We start from the raw sequence: 13,596 nt of genomic DNA on the forward strand, positions 1-13,596 counted from the left end.
GGGGGTTAAGTTCCAAAGTGCATTTTGGAGGGCCATATACATTCAAACCATAGCACATGCATTATCTCATTTAATCCAGAGCTATTGGTTGACATCCCATCCCATTGGGACAAGAACACACATGTGATAGTTGAGCTTAAAGTGTCAAAATATGGACAGTATTCAGAGGAAACAGTGATAGTGAGCTGGAGGGTTCTAGAAAGATCATGTGGAGGCAATGGGGCAAGAGCTGGACCATGAAGAATGGATGGGGCAGAAGATGGGCAGGCAGGAGAATGGGGGATAAGGACCTCCTAGTGACTTAGGTGAATTTAGTATGACATCTTGGTTTTATTAAATAAGTAGCATTTGATACTCTTTAGTCTACTTTACCTTTTCCTTCCAACAACTCTGTGAATTAGAAAGGGCAGATGGTTAAATCTATTTATTGTTGAGAAATGGAGGTCCAGAGGGGAAAAAAATGCTTTACCCAAGACACACAGTGAAATTAATGGCAGCCTGAGCTTCTCACCGTTGCTATTTGAGTTTCTCCATGTTACTTGACCACCCACTGGTATCTGACCCCAAAAGACCTTCCTTGCTGACTTCCTGTGGTATTTTATTTTGTTTTGCACAGCATGGTACTGCTATTAAAAACTAAATCTTTTAAAAACAACATTTCCTCAGTAGCATCAAACATATGTCTTTATCTTCTTGATTCAAGCTGGTCCTGACTTTAAGATATCTTGAGGAGAATAGGGTAAGAATACATGTGGACTTTCTTCCTTGAGAATATAGGGAAGTATTAGATTTCAGAGTCTGAGGTTAACACAGTGGTCACCAGCCTAATGTGGCTATTTAAATTTGAGTTAATTAAGTAAAACTTAAAATTCAGTTCTCGGTTTGCATTTACCGCATCCCAACTGCTCAATAGCAACATGTGGCTTGTAGCTCCTACATTGCTGGTATAGAAACAGAACATTGCCATTATTGCAGAATGTTCTGTTGGACAGCACTAGCCTAAAGCTGCTGTCTCAGCTAAGTGACTTCTCTGTAACCTCTGACTCTCTGTAACTTCTAACTTGTAACTTCTGTGTAACCTTTGACCTTACAAGGTAGGCTTGGAGTGCAGAGGGGTGCAATGAAGTTGTCTGTGATACTTATGCTTATCTCAGGCCATACTGTAATGTTCTCTGGGTCAGCTCTCCAAAAGGCACAAGCAGTCACTTGTTTTTCACAGAGAGAGAACCCCTGATTCTAGCTATTATACTGACTCTCGTAGAGGTGCTACAGGCAGGCCATGATAGGATCTGGAGCCACTGTGTTATCATTTCTTCCATAGTTATAGATGGAGTGCTCCATGTGTCATTAGTCATTTACACTGTTGTGTGTGTCAGCCTCAATGTCTACCCATGAGGATACATGCCTGTATTTGGGGAGGTATGCAGGGGAGGACAGCTGCAGCCCAAAAAGCTCCTATATGAAGGAATGAGCTGCCATACTGATGCCTCCATTCTTAAGAATGTTCTGTGTTGTGGTTGCTGGTCTCTGGCTGAAATTTGGTACGTACATTCTTTAGTTTGCAAGAATAAAAGGCTCAGTGCAGTGTTATAGGCAGGGGTCTGCTCTTAGTTCAAATGCATTGAAGGAAGCCGTTTTATGCACAGTGGCTTGTACCCTGAACATCCTTTTGGAAAGACTAAACAAAGAGGGTTATTTTGTGACTTCACCATATACATGGCCTGAATGGATGGTAAGACTGTTGAATGGAAGGTTGGGTAGATTAGAGTGTGCTACCAAAGGCAAAAGGGCTCTGGCCAGGGGCCCAATACTACTGTGAACAGGATGCAAATGATGGTGGTCTCACAGGAGACACACTAAACGGGGAGTTGGGTGGGACTGGAGCTAACCCCATTTAAGGTCCTCAAGACCATGTAATGAAGCAGGAAACCCAACACACAGAGTGCATGAAAGCAGGACACAGAGATGAATCCTGAATGGGCAGAGGGCCCCAGAGAGGGAGACAGTGACTTGGGTTCTTTAAGGGCTCACAGGCTATAGCCACAGGCTACAGATTCACCTCATTGCATCCCCTGCTTCTCTGTAATTGCCCTGGTGAGTTTCCAAATGAAGGGAAAGAGCCAATAGCCCTTTAGGAAGAGATGCACTAGATGAAAATCACCTGATTAAAATATTGCTGTTAATCGCAGGAGAGGGGGGTAGGGAGGGAAAAAAACCACAGGCTCAAGCGTTAAAAGCAATAAATTATTTGTTAGGCTTTGCCACCCAGTATGACCTTGGGCAAGTGGCATAAGGGCCCCATTCTCTCTGATCCTGGAGCAGGGGGAATGCCTGCCACCTGCCTACCTCTTGGGGGTTTTGGGAGGATTAATGACATAATGTCTGAGCTGTGCTTTGGGCTCCTTGGAGACAGCCACTATGTATCAGGAATTATTAGCACAAGCTAGGACAGTTTCTTGACTATTCTTTACCTCATTAAGCTACCTATGCCTGATTACATCTGCTTATAAAAGTTGCTGCTCAAAGAAGAGTGGACTGGGAAGGTCATAACCCAGGCTGGATCTGTCCTGGTTGGTTTCATTAAAGCCACTCCCTAAACCCACACTCATCAGCAACAGGGCACCTTGAAAGCTTAGCACAGTACCCAGCATCTAATGCCAGAGACGGATGGTTAAAAAGAAAAGAAAGAAGAAGATCCTGTGGACTTTTTGCACTTCTGTGTTTTGTGTTACTACTACCAACCCACCTACATTCTAGTGCACCTAGGGGAGTGACTGCCAGGTTGCCGGGGATGAGGGACAAGCTCCAGGAGTCTTCAGCTACTCAGTTTTTAGAATGAGTAGCTGTCAGATGGATGGACAGGTTTTTTCAGTGTCAAATTTTGAGGCAACCGACTAAAGAAACCAGGCGGCTCTAAGTTCACATACCAAGAAACCTATATTGATTGTGTTTCTAAGTGAGGGCAAGTCCATGTTGTATGAATGTGTATTATGTGTAAAAGACACAAAAAAGTATATTCAGTGTGGGTCTCTATCCTCAAAGGTCTTCATCCAGTTGGATAAATTTGACATTTATTCCTAGAAAGCTCACCAGCCTTGATATAGACCAGGGGAGAAGTCAGATTAGGGGATCAAAGCACTTCAGGTCAAAGGATTCAGAGGCTGAGCCTGGGCCAGGGGCAGAGGGGTGAGGGGAACAACTCAGCCACAACATCCTCGAGTGTATCCAGAGGCCATGCAGACAGAGGCTTGAACCACAGTTCACAGGAGGCTTTCAGGTACCTGTGATCCTCCTGGAACAGGAGAGGACAGGAAGATCCTAAGGTACACTTCAAGGCCATCTCCCACCCACCTCCTATCTCTTGGGAGGCTGTCGTGAGACAGTGTCTCATCACCCCTCAGGTTCTGATGAGGATGAACTTCTGTACTCCAGCCCCCTCAGAATAGAGCTGCAGAAGGTAAAGCTGCTTAGCTACAGTCTCAAGTGGACTCCTCAGCAACAGGGCATCCCGCAGCTCACGCTGCGGTCATCTGGCCCCTTCTGTTCCAAGGTCATAATTTTTGGTATGAAGGACAAAGCCGTGGGGAGCTGGCACCTTTGGCTACTCTTTCTTTTGCTGTCTATGTAAGTAATAAACTGCCTGAATCCAAAAGTGGCTTGTGATACCTTTACCAGCCGAATTAGTAAGGTCTTGGCCTTGCCTTGTCTCGTATGCTTGAAAAGAGGGTGTGCCCAACTCTCACCTCAACTGCGCCAAAGCTTTAGGCCAAAAGGATAGAGCTGGTTCCCAGGGCCTGTCAAAAGAGAAGGGAGCAGGACCGAGGGCAACCAGCAAAGCTTTAGACCCATGCAGACCAGTGCCACCTGGCTCAGCCATCCTAGCACAGCTGGAATTCTTTCCATCTTTGTTGCATCAGCCACACACGAGGACACTAATACTGACATTATAAGGTTGTTGTTAAGATTGGAGATAATGTATGTTATACTTCCATAGCCGTCCCCGACACAACTACTAAAACAGAAAATAACAGCCACTAACATTTACTATGTGCTTGCCTCGTTCCAGGCACTGTTCTGCTAGTTTTATAGGCTAACTCATCTGACCCTTACAACTACCTTTGAAGTAGATATTCTTTTTTTATGTAGATGAGGAAGCCAAGTTCAGAAATTTGCTCAAGGTCACATACAAGTTAGTGGCAGAGCTGGGATTTAAACCCAGGCAGGCTGTGAGCCTGGGTTCTTAACCACCCTGCCTCAGTGGACATCAGCCACGTTCCCACACTTTGCTGCTGAAAAGAAAGTAACATTTTATCCAGTCTAAGTGCTGAGAACAGTTCTGGTCTCCTATATCTTAGTATCAGGTTGAGCCTGAGTAGAAGGAAACAACAAGACAGAAGGGCTGGCAGGGATCTAGATAGAGAAGACTCTGAAAGTGATGAGTGATCTGGTTTGCAGGTGGTAGAATATGTACTTGGTTTGTAGTTAAGGAGAAGGACAAACTTCAAAAGCTGTCTCATAAGTCAAAGGCCCCAATTTAGGAATACGCAAGTGTTGGTAATACATTTAGCCAAATGCTGGACAGAATAAGCTAGATGTGACAGTGGACATGAAAATGCCAAATTCAGAATGGTGGTCACATTTTGTAGGAAGAGAGAGAGAAATACTATTTTTCAGGCTAGTATTTGATGTATTGTTACTGTTTTATACCTCAACCCCTTGATTTCTTGAAACAGTGTAAACTTGGTGACTTTACTGCATAATAAATCCACCCATTGCACCTACATTGCAAGCAAACTCCACCCACTCCATAAATTGGTGATTTTCCCGCTGCATCTCCTGTCTACTTTCAGATAGTTTTCCTAAAGCCCTGACTGGCAAAAGCCTAATTCCGCCCTCTGCAAAGATCTCAGGTCCTTGTCTAACGAAAGGGGAAAAACATTAAAAATGAAATGTTTGAAATGCAACAGAGTGAACAGAGTGAAAACTACTGCCTATAGTCATGTGTCGCATAATGACGTTTCAGTCAACAACAGACTGCATATACAACAGTGGTTCCGTAAAGATTATAATGGAACTGAAAAATTTCTATCACTCAGTATTTACTGTATTTTTTATGTTAGTGTACTCTTCTACTTATTAAAAAAGAAGTTAGCTGTAAAATAGTCCCAGGCAGGTCCTTCAGGAGGTATTCGAGAATAAAGCATTATTATCATAGGAGATGACAGCTCATGTGTGTTACTGCGACTAAAGACCTTCCAGTGGGACAAGATGGACACAGAAGACAGTGACATTGATGATCCTGACATTGTGTAGGCCTAGGCTAATGTGTGTGTCTTAATTTTTAACAAAAAAAGTTTAAAAAAGTAAAAAAAAAAGTTTTGATAGAAAAAAGCTTATGAAATAAGGATATAAAGAAATTTTTTTACAGCTGTACAATGTGTTTCTTATTAGAGTGTTATTACAAAAGTCAAAAGTTAAAATTAAGTTTATAAAGTAAAAAAGTTACAGTAAGCTAAGGTTAATTTATTATTGAAGAAAGGAAAGTATTTTTTATAAATTTAGTGTAGCCTAAGTTACAGGCACATAGTTTTAAAAATCTTTTTTTTTTTTTTTTTTTTTTGAGATGGAGTCTCGCTCTGTTGCCCAGGCTGGAGTGCAGTAGTGCAGTGGCATAATCTCGGCTCACTGCAACCTCTGCCTCCTGGGTTCAAGTGATTCTTCTGCCTCAGCCTCCTGAGTAGCTGGGATTACAGGTGCCTGTCACCACGCCCATCTAATTTTTTCGTATTTTTAGTAGAAACGGGGTTTCACCATGTTGGCTAGGCTGGTCTCGAACTCCTGACCTCAGGTGATCCACCCACCTTGGCCTCCCAGAGTGCTGGGATTACAGGCGTGAGCCACTGCACCCAGCCTAAAAATCTTTTATACCATATTTTTTACTGTACCTTTTCTATGTTTAGATATGTTTAAATACACAGATATTTACCATGGTGTTACAGTTGACTACAGTACAGTAACATGCTGTACAAGTTTGTAGCCTCAGAGTCATAGGCTATACTGTACAGCCTAGGTGTGTAGTACGCTATTGCATCCAGGTTTGTGTCACCACACTCTTATGTTTGCACAGTGACAAAATCGCCTAATATTTCTCAGAACATGACCCCTGTCATGAGGTGACACGTAACTGTATTTAGGATTAAGGCTTTCAGTGAAGTAGAACCGTGGACAGAAAAGAAAAGACTACCTTTGAATTGTTACTCCTTCACAGATCATCTGTCTTCTCTGTTAGTTTTGGAAACTTGTTTTATCCTGTATTGGGCTGTTTCACTGCGACATACCTAGGGGTGAATTTATGGATTTAATATATCCTGTTGAGGCTGGGTGCGGTGGCTGATGCTTGTAATCCCAGCACTTTGGGAGGCTGAGGTGGGTGGATCACTTGAGCCCAGGAGTTCAAGACCAGCCTAGACAACATAGTGAAACCCATCTCTACAAAAAAACAAAAACTAGCCAGGCATAATGACACACACCTGTAGTCCCAGCTACTCAGGTGGCTGAGGCAGGAGGATCGCTTGAGCCCAGGGGGGTTGAGGCTACAGTGAGCTGAGGTCGCACCACTACACTCCAGCCTAGGTGACAGAGTGACACCGTGTCTCAAAAAAAAAAAAAAAAAAGAAAAAAACACAACTATATATATAGTGGAGCAAAGCCCTCTGTTTTTGATCTGAAAACTTATGTCTTATTTCACTTCTGGAAAGTTCACAGCCTTCATCTTTCTGAATAGGGTTGGTCTGCCACCACTCCAACACCCTTCCCCTGGATAGCTATCAAAGCTGTGTTAGAGGCTTAGGTCTGCCCTCTGTGTCACTAACTACTATTTTTCTTCTTCCTCTACTGCATTCTGGGTGACTTCCTCAGCATGTCTTCCAGTTCACTAATCCTATCTCCATCTTTGTCCAGTTTGGATTATCATTTAAAATTTAATTTCAATGTCTGTTTTTCATTTCTAGCATATATACATTATTCTTTTTTAAAAATATCCATGTATTATTTCCTTTCTGCCTGTTGTGTTTTATATTTCCTTATTCTTTCTTATAGCTATAATTCCTTTTTGCATCTCCCATAATTCCTAAAACATACATTTAAAAGTCATTGTCAGGCTGAGTATGGTGGCTCAAACCTGTAATCCCAGCACTTTGGGAGGCTGAGGCGGGTGGATCACCTGAGGTTAGGAGTTCAAGACCAGTCTGGCCAACATGGTGAAACCCTGTCTCTACTAAAAATACAAAATTAGCCGGGCATGGTGGCACACGCCTGTAATCCCAGCGACTTGGGAGGCTGAGGCAGGAGAATGGCTTGAACCCGGGAGGCGGAGGTTGCCGTGAGCTGAGATTGTACCATTGCACTCCAGCCTGGGCGATAAGAGTGAAACTCCGTCTCCAAAAAAATAAAGTCATTGTCAGACTGCCCTATTTTCATTTAATCTCAAATAAATTAACCCCCCAGTGTCGATTTTGTTGGCTGTCTTCTTGAGTTAGTTTTCTTTTGGTATTTTGGAAATTGGGTTTGGAAACTCACGGAGTCAGAGTTCGTTTGGAGGAAATGGTCTTCTCTGTGCCATCCCTCCCCCAACAGCCTTGTGTTTACTTCTCCAAGGACCTGTAAGCCTATAACAGGTCTCATAGTGACATGTCAGGACCACCAGGACATACAGACACAGATAAACTTCAGTCTTCATACCTCCATGTGGTCTTGGCCCACATGCAGGCTGTAGATTGTACATGCTTCTTCGTAACATCCTAGGCTTCACTGTGAGCTGTAATTGTCAGATGTTTTCAGTCTCCTTTCATAGCTGGGGCAGCCTAGCCCAAACTTTGGTTTTAAGTAAGGACAGTGGCTCCCATCCCGCCCCACTTGGGCTACTTTTAGTTCCCAGTCCACCAGAATAGAGCTCCCAGCACCACCACCTACATTCAGACTCAAAGCACAGCGGGACTGTGGCTTCAGCATTCATCTTTGCTTTATTCTGTTCTGTTCTTTTTTTCCCCCGTAGATATGTTTATCTTGTTTTTAAGCATAATTTACACCTTTCATTTTCTTTTTGTATTTGATGTTTGGAATGGAGGGGAGGGAAACTGAATCAAAAATAAACTTATACACTGAGCAGAAGGTGATATGTAAAGGAGGTTAAGGACAGAGTCAAGCCTAGTGAGGGTAGATTATTCCAGGCAGAGGGAACAAGAGCAAGTGCAAAAAACCTATGGTAGGTAGGCCTGGCATGTGGGAGGAACAGCAGGGAGGCCAGTGTGGCTGGAACAGGGTGAACAAGAAAGAGACTGGCAGAAGAGAGGGGTCAAAGGTCATGGCAGGTCAGACACAGGATTTTCCAGGGCTTCATAAGTCAGCTAGGAAGCCAGTGGTAACTTGCACAGAGTAGTAACATGGCATGACTTATATTTTAACAGGATTGCTCTGGCTGCTGTATTTGAGAAAAGACTGGGGAAGGGGCAGTGTCAGGGAGTGGAAGAGTTGAGGGAGAGCAGTTAGGAGCTCTGGCAGTAACCCAGAGGAGAAGTGAAGGGGGCTTGGTACAGGGTGGAAGCAGGGGAGGTGCTGGAAAGTGGTTGGGTTCTGAATAGGTTTTGTAGGTAAAGTCGGCAGAATTTGCTGAAGGGTTGGATGTGGGTAGGGGAGAAAGGAAGCAAGGATGACTCCAAGGAATGAAATGCCATTACTTGAGAAGAGGAACATGACAGAAAAGGTTTGTTTTGGAGGAAGCTCAGTTTTAAACAATGAAATGAAAATTAGCCCTTCTTACCCGACTACAAAGATATGATAATTACTGTAAGATTCAAAAGAAGACTGAAGACTGTTACTCAGAATATAGAAAGAACTCTGAAAATTCAATAAGTACACAACCCAATTAAAAGCAGGTAAAAGATTTGAATAGAGACTTTACAAAGAAGAGATAGGGATGGCAAATAAACACATGAAAAGTTGCTCAGCAACATCGGGCATCAGTAAATGCAAAATAAAACCACAATGAGATACTGCTACGTGCCACTAGAATGGCTAAAATTAAAAGGCTGATACTAAAAAGTGTCAGTGAGGAAGTGGAACAATGGGAACCCATACATTGCTTTTGGTAATCCAAAATGGCACAGTTCCTTCGGAAAAGTTTGGAGTTTCTTATAAAGCTCAACATACACCTACCATGTGACCCAGGTATTCCACCCGTAGGTATTTACACAAGAGAAATAAAAACATTTGTCTACGCAAACCTACTCAAATATCCGTGGCAGCTTTATTTGTAATAGTGAAAAAGTGGAAACAATCCAATGTCCATCAACAGATGAGTGAATGAAAAGTGGTTCACCCATACAGTGGACCACTACTCTGCAATAAGCAGCAAAACACTGACACATGGATGAACCTCAAGAACATAATGCTGAATCAAAGGATCCAGGGTTCTTCCCTTCCCCCCAAAAAAGAGTGCATGATACATCATGTTTCCGTTTATGTGGAATTCCAGAAAATATAAACCAACTTATATAGTAACAGAAATCAGATCGGTGATAGTCTGGGTATGGGGTGGAAGAAGAAATGGACTATCAGGGAACAAGAAACTTTCTGGGGTGATGAAAATGCTCTGTATCTTGATAGTGGTGGTGGTTTCACAGATGTCTGCACCTGTCAAAACTCACTACACATTGTTATCAGTAAATGATTAGTTTATTGTATATAAACACCTCAATTAAGTCTGTGTTTGTTTTTTGGGATGTGGTGGCACAAGCCTGTAGTCCCCGCAAGTTGGGAGGCTAAGGTGGAAGGACTGCTTGAGCCCAGGAGTTTGAGGCTGCAGTGAGCTATGATGGTGCCACTGTACCCCAGCCTGGACAATAGAGCAAGACCCTGTCTCTAAAAAAATGTTTTTTTTTTTAATTACTGAATTCAGGATATGAACAATGACAGCATTCTTAAAAGAGAGTCAACAAGTCTACCATAGAGCTCTATGACCCAACCAAAAGTCATAGTAATTCCAGTGCTGACCACTTGATTATCACCAGCAGCCTCAGTTATGGGCTTTTAATTCATAAACAGATGACTTGATGAAGAAAAAAGGGAACTTTACTCTTCTGATTCAGGTATGGCTAAGAACCAGGCCATGAAACACCCAAGGACCTAAGACACAATGCCCTTTTAAGACAGCTAGCATGAAAGTGGTTCTTTTCCATGCCTCGTACGCCCTAATTGTGGTAGAATAAAGACTGACATCCCACAGGATGTAAGACGTGTGTTTATTAAGGACATCGACTTGTGCCATCTCACTCAGGTGGGGCTGGCACCATTCTTATTTTACAGATGAGGAAACAACCTTGGGGAAATAAAGTAATTGCCTGGAGTAATGGAGCTCAGCTGCATTCTTTTTTAAAAATTAAATAAGAAATTTTTAAGAGATGGTCTCTCTGTCTGTCATTCAGGCTGGAGTGCAGTGGCGCCATGATAGGTCACCTGTCACCTTGAACTCCTGGGCATAAGCAATCCTCCCACCTCAGCCTCCCAAGCAGCTGGGATTACAGGTTTACACCACCACACCTGCCTAAGTTTTTGTATTTTTTGTAGAGACAGGGTTTCGCCATGTTGCTGAGGCTGGTCTCAAACTCCTGGCTTCAAGTGATCCCCTTGCTTCGGCCTCCCAAAGTGCTGGGATTACAGGGATGAGCCACTGCGCCCAGCCTGTTCTTTTCATCACATGACTCCACTGGTGATAGTCTTGCCTCACTATATTTTTCCTTTTCTCCCCATTTACCATTTATTTGCATAATTCTTTAATAACAGCTTTATTGAGATATAATTCACATACCATATAATTCACCTATATAAAGTGTATAATTCAGTGGCTTTTAGTATATTCAGAGTTGTACAACCATCACCACAATCTATTTTAGAACATTTTAATCACCTCAGAAAGAAACCCTGTACCTTTTAACTCTCACTCCCCTGTCTTCCCATTCTTCTACCTCCCCAGTGCTAGGCAACCACTGATCGACTGTCTCTGTCCTATTCTGGGCTTTCATGTAATAGACTCATATAAGATGTGGACTTTTGTGACTAGCTTCTTTTACTCAGCATATTCTCAAGGTTTATTCCTGTTGTAGCATATATCAGTACTCTGTTCAATTTTGTGGCCAAATAATATTCCGTGGTGTGGGTTAACCACACTTGATGTTTCCATTCATCGGCTGATGGACATTCACATTGTTTCCACTCTTTGGTTATTAGGAATAGTGCTGCTATGAACGTTCATGTACAAGTTTCTGGGCCATGTTTTCTTTTCTCTTGGGTATATACTCAGGAGTGGAATTGCTGGGTGTCATATGGTCACTCTATGTTTAAGCCTTTGAGGAACTGCCAGACTCTTTTCCAAAGTGGCTGCTCCATTCTGCGTTGCCATCAGCAGTGTTTGAGGGTTCTAATTATTCCACATTCTAGCCAACACTTGGTATGACATGATGTCTCATTATGGTTTTGATTTGCATTTCCTTGATGGCTAATGATATTGAGCATCTTTTAATGTGCTTGTTGACATTTGCATATCTCTTGGAGAAATATGTATTCAGATCCTATGCCCATTTTTAATTGAATAGTTTGTCTTTTTATTGAGTTGTAAAAGTTCGCATACATTTTCTTCTGTGGGTTTTATACCTTTAAATTATTCATTTATTTATTCTTAGAGACAGGGCCTTGCTGTCTCCAGGCTGGAGCGCAGTGGAGCCATCATGGCTTAATGCAGCCTCAAACTTGTGGGCTCAATCTTCCTGCCTCAGCCTCCCAAGTAGCCAGGATTACAGGCGTGTACCACCACACCTGGCTAATTTTTTAAACGTTTTGTAGAGACAGAGTTTTGCTATGTTACTTAGGCTGGTCTCAAACTCCTGAGCTCAAATAATCCTCCTACCTTGGCCTCCCAAAGTGCTGGGATTACAGGTGTGAGCCATGGTGCCTGGCCTTTTTTACACTTTCTTGATGGTATCCTTTATAGCACAAAAGTTTTTAATTTTGATGAAGTTCATTTTGTCTATTTTTTCCTTGGTTGCCTATGCTTTTGGTATGATGTCTATTGCCCTACTTTTTGCATGAGAGGTACATGGGCCTCTTTGTATCTGAACATCAGAAATAAAAGCAGGATGGGCAGGATCAGGACTGCCCTTCAGATGAGGTTACATGACTCTTCTAAGGTCACACAGAAGAGGCAGTACTGGGATCCACCGTGGGCCAGTGCAACTCGAAGCCCTTATTCATCATAGCACACCACAGCATAGCACAGCATCATCAGGGAGTGGAGAATGAGAGGTTCTGCCTTAGGCCCTTCACTAAAGTGCTCGCTCTTAACACTGTGTTGAGAATCCCCTTCTCAGAATGGTTACTTGGCAAATGTTGAATTATTTCTTTCATTTTTGTTTCTATGTTTTTCCAGTGAAAGAAATTTAAAAAAAAGAAAAAGGAATGAACTTAAAATCTTGACTGGAGGGTAATGAACCTGCCTCTCAAGGGCCTGCCTTCCTTTGCATTCAGAAAACTACTCAAGGTTACAAAAAACCAATACATCCCACTGGTTCCTTGTAAGAAATTCTCCAAATATCAGGAAATATTGTGGGAAAGGAATGCATCTCTCTCTCTCTCTTTTTTTTTTTTTTTTTTTTTTGAGACGGAGTCTCGCTTTGTCACCCAGGCTGAAGTACAGTGGCGCGATCTCGGCTCACTGCAAGCTCCACCTTCCGAGTTCACGCCATCCTCCCGCCTCAGCCTCCCGAGTAGCTGGGACTACAGGCACCCACCATCATGCCCGGCTAATTTTGTTTTTGTATTTTTAGTAGAGACGGAGTTTCACCGAGTTAGCCAGGATGGTCTCGATCTCCTGACCTCGTGATCCGCCTGCCTCGGACTCCCAAAGTGCTGGGATTACAGGCATGAGCCACGATGCCTGGCTGGAATGCATCTCTTTGACAATGCATGTTGCCACTTAATACTGCCATTTGTTACTTTTAAACCGTGTTATACATAGAGCCAATTCATGGGAAAAAGCCCTGGTTAGCTTCAAATTTTGGTCACCTGTCCTGTCAGCAGATGCATATACATTTTATAATTGTTTTCAAACTCCCGATTAAACAACATTACAGTAAAGGAGGGCTCAGCTCTTAATCACTGTTCCTTGCCTGGTGTCCAGCCACAAGGTCATTGCTTAGCAAATGTTGATTTAAATGAGTAGTAGAATCCAAAAAAGAAAAAATCTCCTACTATTCTTACTCTCCAGTCCATTAAGTTTGTAAATTCTTTGTTTCCTTTTAGTTTTCATCTAGATACAGATGTGATTTTTATTTATTTTTATTTTTTTGAGACAGAGTCTCACTCTTGTCCAGGCTGGCGCGCCATGGCCAGATCCTAGCTCACTGCAGCCTCAACCTTCCAGGCTCAAGCAATCCTCCCACCTTGGCCTCTCGAGTAGCAAGGACCACAGGTGCATGCCACCTAATTTTTTAATTTTTGTAGAGACAGGGGTCTCACTGTGTTGCCCAGGTTAGTCCCAAACTCCTG

The 13,596-nt window shown here is 42.8% G+C and overlaps 1 protein-coding gene across 2 annotated transcripts in view; it reads left to right on the forward strand.

The window, feature by feature from the left end:
- Positions 1-13,596, forward strand: part of ZNRF3 (zinc and ring finger 3) — a 173,917-nt gene that overhangs the window by 77,698 nt on the left and 82,623 nt on the right. The gene's annotated exons all lie outside the window — the stretch shown is intronic.

The sequence above is a fragment of the Homo sapiens genome, chromosome 22 (assembly GCF_000001405.40).
Source record: "Homo sapiens chromosome 22, GRCh38.p14 Primary Assembly".
In the NCBI taxonomy this organism is placed as follows: Eukaryota; Metazoa; Chordata; class Mammalia; order Primates; family Hominidae; genus Homo; species Homo sapiens.